Genomic DNA, 22,525 nt, shown 5'->3' on the forward strand with positions numbered 1-22,525 from the left:
CACTCTCTTAGCTCTTCAACAAACCTGTCCTGACTCCAACGTGGAGATGCTGGGAACACAGCCATGAGAGATTCTGACAAGTCTTGACTTCATTCAGCTTCCCAGTCAAGGGACAATTAATTACCGTGATGTGGAGTGAGTGTGCAGGAAATTAGAACCTTATTAACAGTGACAATATGGTTCTCAGGACAAACACATAGAGCCCATCTTCACTTCATAAGGGAAGCTTTAGAAGGGTAAAGATGGCTTTTGAACCACTTTGGCTAAAAAGGAATGTGTAGTTTTCTAAACCCAGATATGATTCCTACCTATAACCTTGGAAATTTACCAGGTTAAAGAATGAATCTAAATGTGAAATTCTGCCACCTTAGAATAGAGCAAGGACTGGATTTTGTTAGGTCCTGCATCCAGTTAACAATTTCTTTATAAGTTGTATTCCTGAAATTCATTAGGAAGTAGTATTTGGGGTTTCAGAATGTGTGTTTCCATTAAACAGGTGTCATGGTAGCATTTCATTTTATTTGTTCAGCAATTATTTGCATAGGCTTCCCTAAATAAATAATAGGTCTTAACCCATTAAACCCTCATTGGAACCCTGTGAAGCAGATGCCTTTCTTATCCCCATTTGCAGATGAGGAAGCTGAACATTGAGAGGTTAAGTAACTTCCACAGGGTCACACAGCAGATGAAAGTAGCAATTTCCACAGGATCCTTGCTAAGCTGTCTAGGCATCAGCTTGCCAGGGAAGCTCTCTGAGAACAACACTCTGAACAGCCCATTCCTATCCTCAAGGCTGCTCCAACTCTGCTACCTGCTGGGAATAATCTGATCTGGACCCTATGTCCAGGGCAAACACTGCTCCATGCCAGGAGGAGCAGCAGATCTTGAATGCTGACACTTGCAGGTTCCCTGAAGCCAGGGAAGGAAGATACAAAGCAGAGTCCATCCCCTGTGGCTCCTTGACCCTAGGCTTTTGGGAAGAGACTCTTATGCCAAAAGAGATCTCAGGGAAGACAAAATCTCATAATTGGGGGTGCCTAATCCCTTTCCCCAGCCAATCTGCAAGAGCCATTGCTTCAGAGTTGGGCAGCTGAACAGCCAGAGTGGGCTGGAGGTGGAAGGGTGCAGCTGGGCTCACACCCATATTGGCCGTCAAATGCCAGGGTCCTCTGGACCACAGCACCCCATCTGCATCAGGAGGTACACAGCAGTGGGGTTTTGACTAGGAAAGGAAAAGCACCAGTTTCTTTCCCAGGAGTCCAGATACATGTAACTCTGACCCTAGTGTGGTAGACACCATTAGTCTAATTCCCATGCATTTGATGGAGAGCTGCCCTTAAAACACAGGCAGTAGGCATTTACAGTTTTGCACCACTAAATGAACCACCTGCCGTTGTCATAACAGAAGGAATAAACATTCAAGACAAAATGCAGGTGAAAGCTATTTTCAAGGGTAACAAAGTAAGCTCTCCAAGACGGGAAGTGTTCAAGCATCACTTGGCCCAGACGTGATAGAGGGAATTCAGATATCTAGGTGGTTCAACTAGATCAATGCTTTCCAAATGTAGACATTCACCACGATCTCCTGGGGAACTTTGAAAAGAAAATACATTTTGTCAGGTCCAATGCCATATGGTAAGATTCATTAGGTCTGGAGTGAGACTTAAGGAATCTGTAAGTTTCACAAAACTGACAGTGATTCTAGAGCTCACCAGGACAAGGAATATTTGGACAGGATGACCTCTGTGATTCTGTTAGAGAGTCTGTGATTTCTTACCAAGGCTCTGGGCCTCACCTACCACAAATTTACAGGTTGAAAAATGCCTGTGTAGATTGCTTGTCATTGGGGAATAGTTTTTACCCCCCACACAATGCAGTGGTGTGCATATTTGCTGATGTTTTCCCCCCAAAGCATGTGAGAATGAATCATTATTGAAACAATTTACTTTCAGTTAGTGCATGAATGCCTTCCCATGATTCTCTGATGCTTTGTTTGTCCTCCTATAAAAATTATTTATGACCCAAGTGTGCTCTTTTAAATCAGAATACTTATTTCTGAAATCAAAGCTCTAGCATGCTAATGCGAGTAGAAACCTTGATAATTTTTCAAAGCCATGTTGAATATTCAAAAGCTGGAACTGAAGGAAAGGAGTTAACATTAATTAATATTTGAAGCACTAAAATAAAAGCAACAGTGAAGCTAATTTTGCAGGACAATTAATCATGAGTCTTGCTAATTACACATGGGATTTTGCAAATGATTTTTTTCTCAGGTAGCAAAGTAAAAATGATAATCCGCTACCCATCAAAATCATTGGCTTCTCACCAATGTCCCCAGCAAGAGCAATTAGTGGAAACAGCAGAGCCCTAGTAATTGCATGTCAAGAGAGGAGAATGTTAGAATTTTAATTGCTCTAAATAAAGACCACTTGCTCATATATACACCTGATGGTCCAAAACAGCTCTGCAAGCCAGAGCAAGTATGCCACCACTTCCAGGTGCCCGCATAAAAATAACTCTTTGGGAACAGTATTCTCCCAGCAACCCATGCAGTTTCTGGAAGAAAATATCAATATGCATTCACATTCTGAACTGCAGTGTCATCACTTGAATATAAGAAGTGCAAAAAAAAAAAATCACCCACTTGGGAAAATGTGCATATTCTTTATATTTGCCAAATATTTATTGCTGACATTTTTTTGAAGAACTTTAACTATCTACAAGGTGCCAAGGGCTTCAAATTTACTGAATTTTAGGATCCCCAATAAAATGTTTTTAACAAGACATCTCAAGAGGGCATAAAATAAAAAATTACCATATTCATGAGTGTAAGCCTCTAAGATTGCAATGCTATAAACTGGATGTTTATAATTTGCTTGTGGCTTTCTTAATTAAAAACTGGTAATTAGAAACTCAAGTACTATTTTTACACTTCATCTTCTACACTTTACATGCTACTGTTACTTTTCAGTTTAATATATGTACACATGGATGCACACAATTGCAAATGATCAATAATATTTAACTGTGTGTCTAAAACCTAAATGATGATGGATACATTTAAATATTGCTTTCCAGGAGATTATTATTCCAATGGCCATGTCGTGGCTTAAACACTTAGTTTAAACAAAACAGCTACCATTTTTTGCTCTTCCCAACATGCATCATTTACTCTCATTTTTAAGCTGAATTGCTGAATTGCCTTCCAAGTACTTCTAGTATCTATTGTCTCCCAGACTAGCCTTGCATCTTTTAAGTGCACCATATTGAGGTGCTAAACCACCAAGCACTTCCTGCTGTTAGCTTTGTGGGCTGAGTGTTAGGTGCAGAGCAGTAACCTTAACTTACCACCATATCGTCTTTGCACATCCAAAGTTTTGTGCATGTTTTACTATACCAGAACCACCTAAAATCAACAAGCAGGACGTAGGGAGTGCTGCTTCCTTTGCTGAATTACCAGCAGATCACAGGTGTGTACCTGACCCCCGGAGGTGATCCAGGTAATAACACTAGGATGGTGATTTAAAGGGTTAGAAGCTTTTCCACAGAAGGTAGTCCTTGAATTCTATCATTTTGCAAATATTGCTCATGAATGGCAACTTACTTACCGGCCTCCTTAAGTGGTTGCTTTTTATTTGTATTATGTTTTAAAGTAGAAAACTTTGAAGATGGTTGTTTTTCTGTCAAAGCACAGCCATTATGCCATCCTCAAGTTAGAATTTCTTCATCAGGTTATTATATATGCATATCTCATGAGACTTTAACCCTCTCCCTGCTCTTTTTTCAAATATCAATTTAGGGCCAAAAAAAGGTGAGTCAGAACAATCATTATTTATTTAGAAGCATTTTACCAAGACACAAAGAACACGCTACCCACTTTTGTAGCAAGATTTTTTAAGAGGACATAGCATAAAATGACAAAAATAAATAAATAAATAAAGCCATAAGCAGAGCAAAGCCTATTGGGTAGGATAGCATCTACGTCTCAAGTGACATGAGAGAATCTGGTGTAAATTATAAGATGATTGATTAGAAAAAAAAAATATTTGGCCAGGTGCTGTGGCTCATGCCTGTAATCCTAGCACTTTGGGAGGCCAAGGCAGGTGGATCATGAGGTCAGGAGTTCGAGACCATCCTGGCCAACATGGTGAAACCCCATCTCTACAAAATTAGCCAGGTGTGGTGGTGGGCGCCTGTAGTCCCAACTACTCAGGAGGCTGAGGCAGGAAAATCACTTGAACCTGGGAGGCAGAGGTTGCAGTGATCTGAGATCGCACCACTGCACTCCAACCTGGGCAACAGAGCAACACTCCATCAAAAAAAAAAAAAAAAGAAAGGAAGGAAGAGAAAGAAAGAGATTTTGTACAGATCAAGATTGCAAGGACACACTATTATTCTAAAGGGCAAAAGGAGTAAAGCACAGGATTCTGAAAGCTTCTTTCTTGCAGCATCTAAAATGCTCGTGTAGACATTGTTTCCCAAGCTGTCTGGCGTTAACATCAGGAGACTGCCAAAGTGCTATTTATATTGCTGCTCATGGCTGGGTGGGAGAAGGACAAAGAAGCTTTTTGGTCAAAATGTATAATTTCCCAACATTAAGTGTTTATAAAAGGGTGTTGTAGTAATAAGGGGTTAGGTGTGCCAATAGCTTCTAAATCAAGGGCCACACTAATCAGAGTGAACTTGGCATAAGTACTAATAGATTATAGCTACCCATTAAGGGAACAGAGTAGATCTTGGCTTAACCTTTGCCCCACAAACTCCCAGGACCTTTTGTGGTTTTTCCTGACTATAGTATCTGCAGACATCTTGGTAATTTTTAACACGGTGGCAGACTTCCATTGTAATAAAGCTCAATTATATTGGCCCTTTGATGGAGTTTATGGTGCCACATCAATTAAATGAGGCAGAGAGAGACAGTGAGCAGACCTTCCATCACCCATCATTTGGGAAGAGATTTGCAGTAAAAGAATAAATTTTGTGCACACATATCAACTTAACATTAAAGAAAAAATGATAAGTACAAGTAACAAAGAAAGAAAGGGGAGAACAGAAAGAAAATGATGAAGCTGAATGACTCGCTTACACTTTTGAGTTTCAGTTGCCACCTCTGCTGTTGGACCAAACTAGGGGCTCTTAAATCTGGGTTTTCTCAATCCCCTGTAGGATCCGCTAATGGGCTTGATGATACCCGTGAGTTCCCTGAAATTATGGGCCAAATATTGTGTCTGCACATATACATATTTTTCTGGGTTCAGCTTTATAGCTTTTATGAGATTCTCAAAAAAGATCATAAGCCAGATAACGATAAAAACTACTAGAAAAAATAGTTGTGTAGGCCTTTGCTACTTCTAATCTTATAAGGAACAATTTGGTAATCCCATTTCTAAATAAAGTCTGCTCCAAGTGACTCTGTTATGTCCAAAGAATCCCAAGGTTCGAAATTTGTTTTCATTGTATCATTTAATATAATTGCCTTCTGTGGTTGGCACGCATCTAGAAATTCAAGATCCCTCAGCAAACACTTCACAAGGTTTCACTTTAGTCTTTGCTGTTCAACCTTCCTTCAGTGCAGTATTGAACTGAGCTATATCAATAACCACAAAAGGAAGAAAACGGAGCTGAACCTTTTCCTCCATAGCCAGCTGAGCCACTTGAATGTCTCTAGGGCCTGAACAGTAATAGCTCTTTTATGAATTGGTTACACCTTTGGAGTTAGTGAGTTTGGCTGAAGTTAGCTGTTACTGTTATTATACCAACATTGCAAATTTTGTCTAGTTCCCTGTTGAAAATGAGCTGTTACTCTGGGCTTCACACTGGACAGTCTTTCTGGGCTCTATGTTCTCAAGGTTTCTTCAGCTTACATGTTATAGACTTTTAAAGGAATTCTGAAATCAAAGATGACCTATATCTATTAAAAAATAAAAGGAAAGGGAATTCGGGAAGCTGAAAAGAACTGACCAAATATGTGAATGGACAGGCAGCCTGGAATTAGCCAGAAATGACCCTCCAAGCATATCTGACAGAATGATGTGAAAGCATACAACATGAATTATTCAAAATAATTAGAGACAGCACTAAGGGTGTTTGCTCTGATAGGGCCATAGTGGAATTTGAAGGGGAAATCAAGGCAGCCAGAGAGAAGCAGGTAATAAACCACTTGGATTCTTAAATGGCAGGCCCTAATTTTTTCAATGTAAACATGGAGGTGTCTGTTTCCTGAATTGTAAATTGAAGAGGTTATCTAAACAGCTCTCTTTAGCATTACCACCCTGGGAGTAAGTCACCAAAGATGCTAAAAATTATACTGCTCCTGGAAAGATATGAAAACAGTTTTTCATGCAGTTTGTACAATGACATGTTATAGAAGGAGGAAAGAAATGTAAGCAGGATACAATAAGATGTTCAAGCAGAGTGGTCTTCTCTCACTCTGGACCCTCACAATTCCCAGCTAGGCAGGACCGGGCATGTTCAGTATTTGGTTTGCTATTGAACAAGAACACTTAGGTATTGCAGGGAAGAATTGCCATTTAGTACAGGTTTAGTGATCTCGAATTCCTATGATCTAGTACACCCACATGAAAGTACATACACGAAAATGTGGCATTTTCCTCTGCAAAACTTTGTATGCTGACCCAAATAAAATAAAGCTATTAGGCTATTAGTAGTTGACCTTGGGGGGAGTCAAAAGTTATATATGGATTTTTTACTATACCAGGGGTCAGCACCCCAATTCCCACATTATTCGAGGGTCAATTGTACACTGTGTCTGTTAAGGCAAAAGCAGCCTCTCTATAATTATGTCTGAGACTTGGGGTGGGATATTGGTGAGCTGCTCTAGGGCGCAGGGTTAGGCCCTTCACAGGGGAGATGGAGGATGCCTTGGGCCACCTACACGGGCCAGGCCTGTGCTGCCATCACTCCCTTTCCTCCCTAGCTACATGATTGTCCTAGGGCCATGAATAAAGGCCCAGGTGCCTTTAAAGCAGCCAGGCCCTGCCTTTCAATGAAAACAGACTTTGTTAACAGTGCCGAAGAGCGATAAAAGAAAGAGAGAAGACAGAAACATGGACCTAAGAGCTGTTTGGACACAGAAGGAAGAACCCTGATGATCCAGCATTCTTTGTCTTTTCATTTCCAAAAGGTATCATCTTCAGAAATTAAAAAAACCCTTTCTTTCTTTCTTCCTTTATGCAGTAAAGGAGGTCAACCTGAGCCACATCATCATCTTTCCAGCCATTATTCACTCCCTCTTCCTTCTGTCCCCTGAACAAAACATACACATCTTCTCTTGTCCAATGTCAACTTGTCCTTCTTGGGAGCTCTCATCTTAGAAACAGCTGTTTCCTGTCTCCACCCATACTTCTGTTTCTCTTCTCTCTGGCTTTCTAAACAAGCTGTTGACCTATTTTCAAATGGAGGGCACTTAGAAGACACAGAGGAAGAAAGAGGAGCAAAAGAGTTCAGGTCACCAAGAAGAAATGACCAAATAACGGTGTTCACAGAGACCTCCACCAACATCTATAAAGGCCCCATTCCCAAAAGACCTTAAGCACCATCACAGTGCAGATTTGAGGCTTGTATCTAATAGTCTCTCTTCCCCTCTCACAAACTGTAAAACTGGTTGAGATGCCTCAACATGCTATGTACAATTCTTCACTAGGAGCTACCCTCTGATTTAAAAGATACATTTTTTCTCTTTCTGGTTTTCCAGATAATGGATTAAATTTTCATATTTTCCCCTTCACTCTTCCAGGGATTATCTGGTCAGTGAAATCTTTATAAAGCATTTACAATAGTGCAGAATTTTGTGTGGCAGTTTAAGTAAGTGTGCACCCTATGAGGTATGTATGCAATCAGTCAAAATGAATTTTTTTATCAGAGATGTACAAAGATCTCAAAGCATTTTATAATTATATCATGTTTTGAGATGGTGAGTAAAATTGTGTCTTAACAGCTAGCACCAAAATGCCTCTCAGAGAGTAAATTATTTTTGTTAGGAAAAGACCTTGATAAGCTTTGAGAGGAGATAGTGAAACACGAGGACCCAGGGTTAGCAGGAGCTAAGGTGGCTAAAGAGAGTGAAATTGCTCTTCCCAGGGAGGGAGAGAGAACAGAGGACAGGAAAACAAAAGGAGGACAAACAGGACAGAAACATGGCATGAGAGGACACTCAGTGAAAGTAACTGGTGAAAAAAATCCCTTGTAGTGATATGATGTGGGGGGGATAGAGTAACTCTTGAGGAGATGAATAAATTCTACTTAAGGTTATTCACTTTGCTGTGATGTAAACCCCTCCTGTGTCCCCAAAAGTCTCAAGTAATGTGTACTGAACATATGTCTTGGATTTCTTTTCTTTTGGTAGAAGTCAAGGAAGGTCTTGATGTGACGCAGGCAGAAACTCCCTAAAAGATTCAGCGCATGGACTCAGGAGAGGGCAGCCAGAGATGGCCGTGAGAATGTAAATCCTCTCCCCTGCCTTCGTTTCCCCCTCAGGGATTCACAGAACTTGGGAAATGCTTTGGAATTAGGGGTTCGAGTCAATCTTGAGGAATAGGAAGACTCCAGCTAACATCTGAGATAGGCTTTCCTAAATTACTGTCCTTTATGTATAAGACTGATAGGAGACCTTCAAGAGAGTATGCTGTCACTTATTTTTCAAATTATCCTTGACTATTCTATCTTGCCTACCTGCTGCAGCCATTTGTGAGGTATCATTATAAGGGTTTGAAATGCAATAACTAGAATACACAAAGTTAACTATCCAGGCTTGGGTTCAGTACATAGCCATAGAGTCAATTAGTAAACAAAGATTTATTTATGATGAATGTATCCCATTAAATTAAGTATCATCAAGCTCTTGCAATATGTATTAATCAGTACCACAATCATAACTAGATATCTTATCTCAACCCTTACAACAATCAAATTATGCATTAGGTTGGTGCAAAAGTAATTGGGGTTTTTGCCATTACTTTCAATGGCAAACTGCAATTACTTTTGCACCAACCTATTATTATTATTATTTCTATTTTGTAAAAGGGGACCCTAAAGCACTTAAAGGTTTCTCAAGCTCATTTAACTAGTAAGTAGCAGATCTGAGATTTGAACCCAGGTATTTTGATGCCAGATCCCATGCTCTATAATCCAACAATACCTTCCTTTTGTGCTAATCTATCATCGTTGTTACTGCTTCTGAGGAATTCACCACTGGACATCAGTTCCACCTTGAGTCTTCCAGAGAAAGTAGGTTTTAGTGGTTAAGGGCACAGGCTTGTGTCTGATTACCTAGGTTCAAGTCCCAGCTCTACCACTTACCAGCTCTGGTGAAATTATTTAACTTCTTTAACCTCAATTTGTCATCCATAAAATAGGAATGATGAAAATAACCTTAAAGAACATATTTTAGAATACTATTTTTAAACAAATGATCTGTCCAATAACCTTCATGATCATGGACACAAAAACCCTCAACAAAACATTAGAAAATCTAATCCAGCATTATATAAAAAGAATACATCACAAAAAAACATGGCTTATCTTGGAAATGCTACACTGGTTCAACATTCACAAATCAATTAATGTAATTCATTGCATTAACAGACTAAAGAAGAAAAATTACATGATTGTGAAGAAAACTACATATATCTAGAATGTATAAAGAACTCTCAGAACTCAACAATAAGAAAACCAGTAATTCAGTTTAAAACTGGTCAAAAGATTTAAATGGATGCTTTATTAAAGAAGATATTTGGATAGTAAATAAGCATATGAGAAGAGGCTGAACATAGTCAGTGGGAAAATGCAAATTAAAACCACAGTGAGTACCAACATATACCTATTAGAATGGCTAAAATTTTTAAAAACCTGAAAACACAGAGTGCTAAACAGGATATAGAACAAGTAGACCCTCATATATTACTGTGGAAATGCAAAATGATAGTTACTTTGAAAACAGTTTTTGGCAGTTTCTTACAACCTAACAATCCTACTCCTTTGTATTTACCCACATGAAATGGAAACCTATGTTCACACAAAAACTTATGACTGCTTATAGCAACTTTATTCATAATTGCTAAAAACTGGAAATAACCCAAATATCCCTCAACTGGGAAAGAGATTAAACAAACTGGTAAGTCTGTAAAATGGATCCATAAAACTACTCAGCAATAAAAGCCTCAAACTATTTGTAGTTTGTTAACATAACAAAGTACCACAGTCTGGATGACTTAAGCAACAGAAATTTATCACCTCACCGTTGTGGAGGCTGGGTGTCTGAGATCAAGGTGACGGCAGGGTTGACTTCTTCTGACCCCTGTCTCTTTGGTTTGTAGATGGATGCCTTCTCCGTGTTTTCATGTGGTCTTTACACCGTGCTTGTCTGAATCCAGGTTTTCTCTCCTTGTAAAGACACCAGTCACATTGGCTTAGGGTCCCCTAATTACCTGATTTTAGCTCAATTACTTCTTTAAAGACTGTATCTCCAAATACAGTCACGTTCTGAGGTACTAGGGGTTAGGACTTCAACAGGAATTTTGTGGGGAGGGCACAATTCACCCCGTAACAGTATTGTTACAGGCAACAACATAGATGAATCTCAAATGCTTTAGGCAGGATAGAAGAAGCCAGTTTCAAAGGCTACATATATAATATTCTAGGAGGGCAAAACTACGTGGACAAAGATCAGATCAAGGCCACAAGAGGTTGAGAGTGGGGAAGGGATTGATTACAAAGGGTTAGCACAAGGTAATTTTGGGGCAGTAATGGAATCTTCTGGCCATTTGATTTGGGTAGTACTTAGACGACTCTATGCATTTGTCAAAACTTAAAGAATAGTAGACCAAATAATGAATATTCCTGCATGTAAATCAAAAATTAAATGTATAAGCATGGGCTCAGAATCAGAATAAAAAATGTTTTAAACGAAGCAGTCTGTCCACTTAAAGAAAGGCACACTCATAGAGCAAACAGCTGAAGAATGTATGTACATTGCCCCCCATCACACATGAACCCAGCACTCTTTATGCTTCCAGACTGGCACCAGCATTATCATGTAAAGAAATCATGACTAAAGAAAGATGATTCACTTTTAAACTTCCTCTTAGCATGAATATCTTTGAGGAAGTCACAGGTTATCCATTTCCATAGGTATGGGGTTTCTACAGTGGGCTGACAACACCCAAGCTGACTGCAGCACTCACAAAGGGAGAGACCCGTTTGAAATCCCAATGGGCAGGTACACAATCCTTCTCTTCCCCTCCACTTCTGCTCTTCATTGAGGAAGGAGACTCCAAATTCCAGCTGCTGCCATCTCCTCAATTCCTCGTTTTCCCTCAATTTATCATGATTCAAGCAGCTTTTTCCTACTCTTCTACGCAAAAGGAAACAGTTATTTTCATCATACTGTATTTATGGCTATTCCCCCCAAATCATTATCAGTCCATATGAAGCATCAATGTGTAGCTTGTATTTGTTTGTTTACATTGTCTCCTTCCAAAAAGGATTTCAGATGGTTTTAGTTTAAATTTATTAAATAAATGTGTATTGAGTTCCTACCATATGCTGGGAGTAGGGATATGGGATTAAATTGCAGCCCCTGCTCTAGAGGCCCCACAGTCTAATGAGGATGGATGGGAGAATAGACAGTCCCAAAACACTGCAGCAAGGGTCATGGCAGAAGCAAACATGGGCTGTTCTGCAACCTTGGGGATGGCACATATAGTCCAGCCTGGAATCACCGAAGGTGTCAGAGATAAACCTTACCTTTTTTTTTTTTTTCACACAGTCAACACAACACAAAACGCTTCACCTCTGATCACCAAAATGTATGTGTTTTTTTTCTCCCCCACTGACCAAGCACTTCTCCAGGGAACATTAACTAGGTGTTCTATAACTCAATTCAATTCTGCCACGACTTACCTAGAGGTAGCATCATATCGCACAGTTAGGGGCTCAGTCTCACAAGACTGCCCCCACTTCAGATGCTAGTCACAAGTAGTAGGTTGTCACCTAGACTTCTGACCCATCCACTTACATATCAGAGTTCCCATGACCCCCTCCTTGGGTTCAATTAATTTGCTAGGATGGCTCACAGTACTTGGGGACACACTTATGTTTACTAGTTTATTATAAAGAATATTGCAAAGAATACAGAAGAACAGCCACATAGAAGATATGCAAAGGGCAAGGTATGTGGGAAGAGACATGGAGCTTTCATGCCCTCTCCAGGTGCACCACCCTCCAGGGACCACAATTGATTGCATCATTGGTCATTAGTGATCAGCTCAACCTTCAGACCCTCTCTGCTTCCTGGAGGCCAGGGGATGGGGCTGAAAGTTTCAGCCCTCGAATCACATGGTTTGTCCCCCTGGAAGCTAATCCTTCCCTTGCCCATCCTAAGGCTATTTAGGAACAAAAGATTCTCCTGGTACCCCTACATACAAGGGTTTTAGGAGCTCCATGTCAGGATCTGGGGGCAGAGACCAATATACATTTCTTCTTATTTCACAGAAGACTTCAGAAAGCTGGATCTTGAAAGATGAGCTGAAGTAAGCAAAGAAGAATAAAAAGGGGTGCAGAGGGTGGAAGTTGCTCAAATGGCTGGGACACCTGTGCTATGAATGGGGAGATGTTGCCAGAGACAGGGTGAAACCAGATAATAAAACACTGTATGCCCCCATGAAGGAGCTTATTTAACAAGCAAGAACATGGCAAGGTCAGGTTTATAAGGATCTCCCTGGCAGCTCTGTGGAGGATGGGTTTGAAGAAGATGGACCTGGAGGACTGGAGACTGGTTGGCAGAATTTCTGAAACATTTCAGGTAAGAGGAAGAAAGTGGCTTGACCTGGACAGAAGTTAGGGAAAAGACAGATTCAAGATACATCTGAAATCAACTGGACACTAAGTGCTGAACAAAGCCCAGATGAAGTACAGCTCCATTTACCCAGACTTCTGATCTAAATACGATAATTAGTTATTATATAAATATATAAATATTCCCATTTTCAATGGCTCACATGTCATTGTCTCATTTATTCGATCTTTATAATAAACACATGTATTCATGAATGTCTATTTGAAGATTTGTAAGGCAGCATCAAGTATTTTGTAAAGAATGTGAACTCTAGCGTCAGACAAACCTCGCTCTGGATGCTTCTTTTAAATGGTTATTTCTTAAATAATCATGCAGTAAGATTGACCTGTTTGGTGTACAGTTATAAATTTTAATAAATGTAAATATTTGTGTTGCCACCACCGCAATCAGAATAGAGAACAGTTCTGTTATCGCAAAAACTTCCCCATGCTATTTTACCCTCACCCTTAACTCTTGGCAAACTTTGGATTTGCTTTTTCTCTCCATCACTATATTTTTTATTTTTTTGAGAATGTTGTATAAATGGAATTATACAACACATAGTTTTTGAGACTGACTTCTTTCATTCAGCATACTGCCTTTGAGATTCACCTTATTGCATGTATCGATCATTCATTCATTTATAGTGCTGGGTATTGTTACATTATGTGATTGTGCCACTGTTTACCCATATCCCATTTGAGGGCTATTTGGGTTGTTTCCAGTGTGGGGCATTATAAAATGGAGTTGGTTTTTATATTTATCTAGAGTAAATACCCAGGAGTGGGATTGCTGGGTTACATGCTAAATGCATAAACTTTGTAAGAAACTGCTAAACTTTTCTCCAGAGTACATTTTGAATTCCCACCAGCAGTGTATGAGAGTTACAGTTACTCTATATCTTTGCCCGTACTTGTTACTGTCAGAATTTTTAAAAAATTTTAGCTATTCTACTGGGTGTATTTACTTAACACTAGGTAACAAATGTTTTCTCCTCTGTTTTTTTTCTGAAAGCTTTATAACTTTATGTTTTATATTTAGATCTATAATTCATTTGTGTTAATTTTTTGGAAAATGTGTAGGGTTACATTCAGGTTCTTTTCTGGGCTTTTGGATGTCCAATTGTTTCATCATCATTTGTTGAAAAGACTATCCTTTTCCCGTTGAATTGCCTTTCAATTTGTCAAAAATCAGTTGTTCATGTTTGAATGGCTCTATTTCTGCCCTAGCTATTCCATTCCATTGATCTAGGTGTCTATCCTGTCATCAATCCCACACTGTCTTAGTTACTGTAGCTTTATAGTAATTCTTAAAATTGAATTGTGGAATTCCTCGAATAGTATTATTTTCTTTTTTCCACCAATCAAGCTGATTACCCTACCCATCACCTCACATATTTCCTTTTTTTTTTTTTTTGACAAGAACACTTAATATCTGTTCTCTTAACAAACTTCAAGTACTGTAGACAATACATTATTATTGACTGGAGTTACCACATGTTGTACATTAGATTCCCAGAACTTATTTATCTAATACATTTTATTTTTGATCCACATCCACCTCCAACCCCTGCCAACCACCATTCTACTATTTCTATGAGTTTGAATTTTTTTAATTCCACATACCAGTAAGATTTTGTAGTATTTGTTCTGTGTCTGGCTTATTTCACGTAATAAGTGAATGTCCAACAGGTTCACACACGTTGCCGCAAATGGTAGGATTTCCTTCTATTTTAAGGCTGAAAAGTATTTCATTGTATATATTATATGTACATTACATTTTCTTTATCCATTCATCCATCAGTGGACATTTGCATTGATTCCATATCTCAGCTATTGTAAATAATGCTGCAATGAACACAAGAATGTCTCCTTGTCACACTGATTTCTTTTCCTTGGGATATATACCCAGAAGTGAGATTGCCGGATCATATGGTAGCTCTATTTTTAGTTTTTTGAGGAGCCTCCACACTGTTTTCCTTAAAAACAGTACTAATTTATATTCCCACCAACAGTGTACAAGGTCTCCCTTTTCTCCACAACCTTGCTGATACTTGTTATTTTTTTACTTTTCAGTAATAGCCATTCTAACAAGTGTGAGGTGATAGCCATTAGGTTTTGATTTGCATGATGATTAGTGATGTTGAGCAATTTTTCATATACCTGTTTGGCATTCGTATGTCTTCTTTGGAAAAATGTCTCTTTTTGCTCATTTTTACTCAGATTGTTTGCCATTGAATTGTATTGAGTCCCTTGTATGTTTTGGATATTAGCCCCCATCAGACATATGGTTTGCAAATATTTTCTCCCATTCTGTAGGTTGTCTCTTGACTCTGTTGTTTCTTTTGTTCTGCAGAAACTTTCTAGTTTGATGTAGTTTCACGTTATTTTTGCTTTTGTTGCTTGTGCTTTGGGTATCACATTCAAAAGACCATTGTCAAGACCCATGTCAAGGAGCTTTTTCCCTATGTTTTCTTCCAGAATTTTAATGGTCTTACACTTAATTAGGGTCTTGTGTTTAATGTCTTTAATCCTTTTTGAGTGGATTATTGTGTGTGATGTAAGATAACCATGCAATTTCATTCTTTTGTCTGTGGATATCCGATTCTCCTAGTACCATTTACTAAAGAGCCATTGCATATGTTCTAAATCATTTTTGCTTTCTTAGTTCCTTTGCCTTTCCATATAAACTTTTAAATTAAGTATTGATAAATATAAGATTTCTTGATAAAATGTTTATTAGAATTGCATTAAATCTCTAGATCAACTTGAGGAGAATCAGCATGTTTACTGTGTTCATTCTTCTAATCCCTGAGCATGATATGTTTCTCCATTTATTTAGGTCTCCTTTTACTTTTGTCATCAGCATTTTTAAGTTTTCATCATACAGATATTATACATATTTTGCTATATTTACAGCATTTTGTGCTGTTATAAATGGCATTTTTTAACTTTTATTTCTAATTGCTCATTGCTAATATATAAAAATACAATTGGTTTTTATATATTGGCCTTGTATCTTAAACTCACTTTGCATGCTAAACTTACCTAGTTCTAGGAGACCTTTGTAGGTTTCTTGGGATTTTCTATATAAACAATTATGTTGACCTCGAATAGAAGCAGTTTTATTTCTTCCTTTCCAGTCCACATGCCTTCTTATTTTCTTGCTTTATCTCACTAGTTGGGACTTCCGGTTTAGTGTTTAATAGGAGTGGCTGAATAAACATCCTTCCCTTTTTTCCAGTCTTAGTGAGGAAGCCTTCATTTTTCATAATTAAATATGTTAGATGTAGGGTTTTTGTAGATGCCCTTTATCAGTTTCAGGAAGTTTCTATTTCTAGTCTGCTGAGAGTTTTCATCATGAATGCATATTGAATTTTGTCACATACTTTTTCTACATCAATTTATATGAATATATGGTGCTTCTTATTTAGACTCTTCATATGGTAGATTATATTGATTGATTTCTGAATATTCAACTGCTTTACATCTCTAGATGGCTTATTATCCTTTTTACATATTGTTGGATTTGTTTTCATATTTGAGTGTTTTGTGTCTACGTTCATGAAGAATAATAATGTGTAGTGGGGGTTTCTTGGACTGTATTTGCTGGATTTTGGCATCATGGTAGTGCTGATCTAGTAAAATAAGCTGGAAAGGGCTTCCCTCTTTTCTATTTTCTGGAATTCATTGTATAGAATTGGTTTTATCTGTTTTTTAAATATTTGGTAGAATTAACCTGTGAAACCATCTGAGCCTGGATATTTCTTTTTTTGGAAGGTTGTGTTTTACTATAAATTCAATTGTTTTCATAGTTATAGGACTACTCAGAATGTCTATTTTATCTTGGATGAGCTATGCTAGTCTGTGGTTTTTAAGAATTGATCCATTTCATATAAGTTGATGATTCCATGCATGTAGAGTTATTTGTAGCCTCCTTATCATCCTTTTAAGGTCTACGGGGTCTGTAGTTATATTCCATCTTTCATTCCTGCTACTGGTAATTCTGTGTGTTCTCTTTTTTCTTTGGTAGTCTTTCTGAAGGTGTAGTAATTTACTGACCTTTCTAAAGAACCTAATTTCTTTTTACTGGTATTTGCATGATATATCTTTTTCCATCCTTTTACTTGTTATCTACTAATATCACTACACATGAAGAGAGTTTCTTATAAATAGCTTATAGTTAGGTCATGTCTTTTTATGCATTCTGATCATTTGTCTTTGTATTAATGTGTTTTGGCCATTTTCATTTATTGATATCATTGGCATGCTTGGATTTAAGTCTACAAATTTTTATTTGTTTTCTGTTTGGTTTTTGTTCCTCTGTTTTCCAATTCCTGGCTTGGATTATGTGAACAGTTTTCAGTATTCCATTTTATTTGTTGGATTTTTTTAAAACTATGTTTCTTTTTATAATTTTTTAGCACTGTCTCTAGGGAATACAATATACATATCTAACTTTTCACAGTCTACTTAGAATTAGTGTTTTACCACTTCTTGAGTGCAGAAATTTACCACTACCTAGGACTTTTCATCCTCTCTTCTTTATGTCACGCTTGTCTTACATATTGCAGGTATATACTTGATAGATGTCAGATAAAGCCATAATTTTTGCTTTCAATGATTAAAAACATTTTAAACAACTTACGGGAAAAGAATGGGCTTTTATATTTACCCAGATATTTATCATTTCTACTGCTCTTTCTTCATTCCTAACATTCTATGTGTTCTTCAACATCGTATCCCTTCTGTCTTTTGGCAATTTTTTTAGAGTAGATCTCCTAGCAATGAATTTCTTAGTTTTTCTTTATCTGACAAAGAAATCTGGGGGACATTTTCAAACCATAGCATCTATGGAATCTAAAAAAGTTTAATTTATAGAAACAGAGTAGGATGTTTGTTACCAGGGGCTAGTGAGTGGGGTGGGGGGAATATCTTTATTTCACCTTCATTCATAAAAGATATTTTCACTTGATCTATAATTCTGGGTTGACTTTCCCTACTTTCAGCACTTTAAAAATGTGTCACTTCCTTCTAGCCTTCATGGTTTCTTTTTTTCTTTTGTGTTTGTGGCCAGGGGTCGGGGGAGGAGGTAAGAATATTTAATATCTAACCTGTTTGCAGTTTTCAAGCATACAACATGTTATTATTAACTATAGTCACATGCTGTATAATAGATCTCTGGAAATTATTTATCCTGTTTAACTGAAATTTTGTACCCTTTGACCAATATGTCCCTATTCCCCTTTCCCCACTCCCTAGACCCTGGTAAACAACATTCTACTCTGTTTCTATGGATTCAACTTTTTTAGATTTCATAGATGCTACGGTTTGAACATGTCGCCCAAATTTCATGTGTTGGAAATTTAATCCCCAATGCACAGTGTTGGAAGATGGGTCCTAATAAAAGGTGATTAGGTTATGAGGGCTCTGCCTTCATGAATGGATTGTCATTATCATGGGAATAGGTTCATTATCTCAAAAGTGAGCTTGTAAAAGCAAGTTCAGCCACTTCTTGCTCTTGCTCTCCCTATCTCTTGCATTTCTGCCTTTCACCACAGGATGAGGCAGCATGAAGGCCCTCACAAGATGCTGGTGACATGCTCTTGGAATTCCCAGCCTCCAGGACTTTGAGCCAAATAAATTTCTGTTCATTATAAATTACCAGCCTCAGGTATTCTGTTATAGCAGCACACAATGGACTAAGGCAACATTTAAGTGAGATCATGTAAGTCTGTCTTCCTTTGTCTGGCTTATTTAAGTTAGCATAATGTCCTCCAGGTTCATCCATGTTGTCACAAATGACAGGATTTCCTTCTTAAGGCTGAAAAATATTCCATTGTGTATTTTACCACATGTTCTTTATCCATTCATCTGTTGATGAACATTTAGATTGACTGTATGTCTTGGCTATTGTGAATAATGCTGGAGTGAACATAGGAGTATAGATATCTCTTTGACATACTGATTTCATTTCCTTTAGATATATTCCCAGAAGTAAGATTGTTGGATCATATGGTAGTTCTGTTTTTAATTTTTTCAGGAAATTTCATACTGTTTTCCATATTGGCTGTACCAATTTGCATTTCAATTAGCAACATAAAAGGATTCTCTTTTCTCCATATCCTTACCAACACTTGCTATCTTTTGTTTTTTTCATAATACACATTTTAACAGGTAGAGATGATATTTCATGGTGGGTTTTTTTGATTGCTTTGTTTTTGTTTTTTGTTTGTTTGTTTTGAGACAGGGTTTCTCTCTCTCACCCAGGCTGCAGTGCGGTGGCATAATCTGGGACTACAGGCACGCACCATCATGCCCAGCTAATATTTTTATTTTTTGTAGAAATGAAGTTTTACCATGCTGCCCAGGCTGGTCTTGAACTCCTGGGCTCAAGCAGTCTGCCCACATCAGCCTCCCAAAGTGCTGGGGTTAGAAGCATGAACCACCACGCCTGGCTTCATTGTGGTTTTAACTTGTGTTTCCCTGATAATTAATGATGTTGAGAATTTCTCACATACCTATTGGCCATCCGTATGTCTTCTTTTAAGAAATGTCTATTCAGGCCCTTTGCCAAGTTTTTTAAAGTTTTATTTTGTTTTAATTGACACATAATAACTATGCATATTTATGGGGTACAGTGTGATGTTCTGATACATGTATACATTGTATAATGACCAATCAGGGTAATAAGCATATCCATCACCTCAAGCACTTGTCATTTTTTTCTGGTGAGAACATTCAAAATCCTCTATTTTATAGTTACCCTACCATACTTTGCCCATTTATTGAATTGAGTTGTTTTCTTGGTATTGAGTTGCTTGAGTTCCTTATCTATTTTGGATATTTACCCCTTATCAGATGTATGGTTTACAAATATTTTCTCTCATTCTGTAGGTTGTCTCTTCACTCTGTTGTTTCCTTTGCTGTGCAGAAGTTTTTTGGTTGATGCAATCACATTTGTCCAGTTTTGCTTTTGTTGCCAGTGTTTTAGGGTCCATAGCCAAAAAATCATTGTCCAGACCAATGTCTGGAAGCTTTCTTTCTCTGTTTTCTTTTAAGTAGTTTTACAGTTTCAAGTCTTACGCTTAAGTCTTTAATCTATGTTGAGTTGATTTTTATACACTAATATAGTTTGGATATTTGTTTCCTCAAATCTCATGTTGAAATGCAATCCCCATTGTTGGAGGTGGGGCCTAGTAGTAAGTGTTTCCATCCTGGTGGCATATCTCTCATGAATGGTATAGTGCTGTCGCCTTGGTAGTGATTTCTCATGAGATCTGGTTGTTTAAAAATGTGTGGCACATTTTCCTTCCCTCTCTCTCTTGCTCCTGCTCTTACCATGTGAGATGCCTGTTCCCCTTTTGCAATCCACCATGACTGTAAGCTTCCTGGGGCCTTCACCAGAAGTCTATGCCAGCACTATGCCTCCGGTACAGTCTGCAGAACAGTGAGCCAATTAAACTTCTTCTTTATAAATTACCCTGCCTCAGGTATTTCTTTATTGTAACACAAGAATGGCTTAATACATACACAATGCAAGATAAGGATCTAACTTTCTTCTTCTGCATGCAGAGATCCAGATTTTTCCAACATCAGTTATTGACAAGACTATTCTTTCCCTATTGTATGTTCTTGGCACCTGGCCTTCATGATTTCTAATGACAAATACACAGTCATTCTAATTGTTGTTCTCCATAAACAATGCATTATTTTTCTTTGGCTGCTTTGAAATATTTTTTCCTTGTCTTTAGTTTTCAGTGGTTTATGATGTGTCTAGACATTGATTTCTTTGGATTTGTCTTGTTTGGGATTTCCTTAGCTTACTGAACCTGTACATTCTTGTTTTTTTTATATATATGGAAAGTTATCAGCCATTATTTCTTTAAATTTTTTTTGACTGGGTCTTGCTCTGTTGCTCAGGCTAGAGTATGGTGACACAATCATAGCTCACTGCAGCCTTGAACTCCTGGGCCCAAGCCATTCTCCAACCTCAGCCTCCTGAGAAGCTGGGACTACTGGTGCAAGCCACCATGGCCAACTAATTTTTGAAAAAAAAAATGTTTTAAGAGACAGGTCTCACTATGCCTCCTAGGCTGGGCTCAAACTCCTGGGCTCAAGTAGTCCTTCCACCTGGGCCTCCTCAATCCCTGGAATTACAGGCATGAGCCACCACACCTGGACTTCTTCAAATAATTTTTTTAGCAATATGCCTTTTCTACACTCCATGAGACTACGATAAACCAAATGTTAACCCTTTTGTTATTACCCCACAGGTCCCTGACTTTAATTTTTAAAGTTCTAATTGATATAGTTATATTAATATCTGCATATTTGTAACTTTCCTATCCATTGCTTTTATTCTTTGTTTTTCCATCTTTCTACCTTCTCTGATTTTAACAGGTCATGTTATGATTTCATTTTCTCTCCTCTCAGCATATAAATTATACTTTTTAGAAGGCTAGTTGTTTACCTAGAGTTTACAATATATATCTTTAACTAATGTAAGACTACCTTCAAATAACCCTATAGCACTTCATGTGTAGTGTAGGCACCTTATAATTCTCAATTCCTCCCTCTCATCCTTTGTGACATTGCTGTTATTCATTTCATTCATTTGTGCTGTAATCACTCAATACATTGTTATTACCATTTATTTAAACACTTATCTTTTAACTCAACAAGAAAAATGATTTACCTTCATTTATTGCTTCTCTAATACTCTTTATTTCTTTCCGTAGATATGAGCTTCTGACATATATTATCTGCTGAGGAACATCTCACAACATTTTTGCAGGTCAAGTCTGCTAGTGATGAATTCTCTGTTATTTGTTTGTCTGAGAAAGGCTTTGAAGGATAATTGTGTTGGGTATAGAATTCTAGGTTGGTGGTATTTGTCTTTCAACCCTTTAAATATTTTACTTCACTCTCTTCTTGCTTGTGTAATTTCTGATAAAAAGTCCACTGTCATTCTTACCCCTGTTGCTCCTTAGGTGGGGTGTTTTTTTCCCCCTCTGGCTTCTTTCAATATTTTGTCTTTGATTTTCTGCAGTGTGAGTATAAGCCTTGATGTGGGTTTGTTGGTATTTATCTTGCTCAATGTTCTTTAAGCTTCCTAGATATGTGTTTTGATGTTTCTCATTAGTATTGGAAAGTTTGGGGACATTATTACTTCAAATATTTCTTCTGCTCTGTTCTCTATTTCTTCTCATTCTGGCATACTATATTGCCACAGTTCTTGGATGTTCTTTCATGTTCTGTTCTGATTCGTTATCATCTTTTTCTCCTTGTGTTTTATTTTGGAAAGTTTATATTGCTCTAAATATTGGAAGTTTACTGACTCTTCCCTCAGCTTTGTAAAGCCTATTGATGAGCCTCCTAAGACTTCCTCATTTCTGTTGCAATGTTTTTCATTTATATAGAGCATTTTCTTTTAATTATTTCTTAGAGTTTCTATTTTTCTGCTACATTACCCATTTGTTCTTGCATATTGTCTACCTTTTTCATTACAGCCCTTAACATCTTAATCATAGTTACTTTCAATTCCCTGTCTGATAATTCTGATATCTATGTTATATTTGAGTCTTATTCTGATGATTGCTTTATCTCTTCAGACTACTTTTTGTTGCCTTTTGTCATGGTTTGTAATTTGTTATTGAAAGCAGACACATTG

At 37.7% G+C, this 22,525-nt stretch overlaps 1 long non-coding RNA gene across 2 annotated transcripts; it reads left to right on the plus strand.

Annotated features, from left to right (window-relative positions):
• Positions 1-48: 48 nt before the first annotated feature.
• LOC105373756 (uncharacterized) lies at positions 49-12,644 on the plus strand. 2 transcript variants are annotated; one of them, XR_923603.3, is made up of 6 exons: positions 49-135; positions 7,030-7,144; positions 7,757-7,844; positions 8,366-8,461; positions 9,604-9,820; positions 12,511-12,644. It is a non-coding gene; the product is annotated as an uncharacterized LOC105373756 (long non-coding RNA). The 2 variants fall into 2 exon arrangements; XR_923602.3 differs by lacking the exon at positions 49-135 and adding an exon at positions 147-236.
• The last annotated feature ends 9,881 nt before the right edge of the window (positions 12,645-22,525 follow it).

Source organism: Homo sapiens, chromosome 2, assembly GCF_000001405.40.
Source record: "Homo sapiens chromosome 2, GRCh38.p14 Primary Assembly".
NCBI lineage: Eukaryota > Metazoa > Chordata > Mammalia > Primates > Hominidae > Homo > Homo sapiens.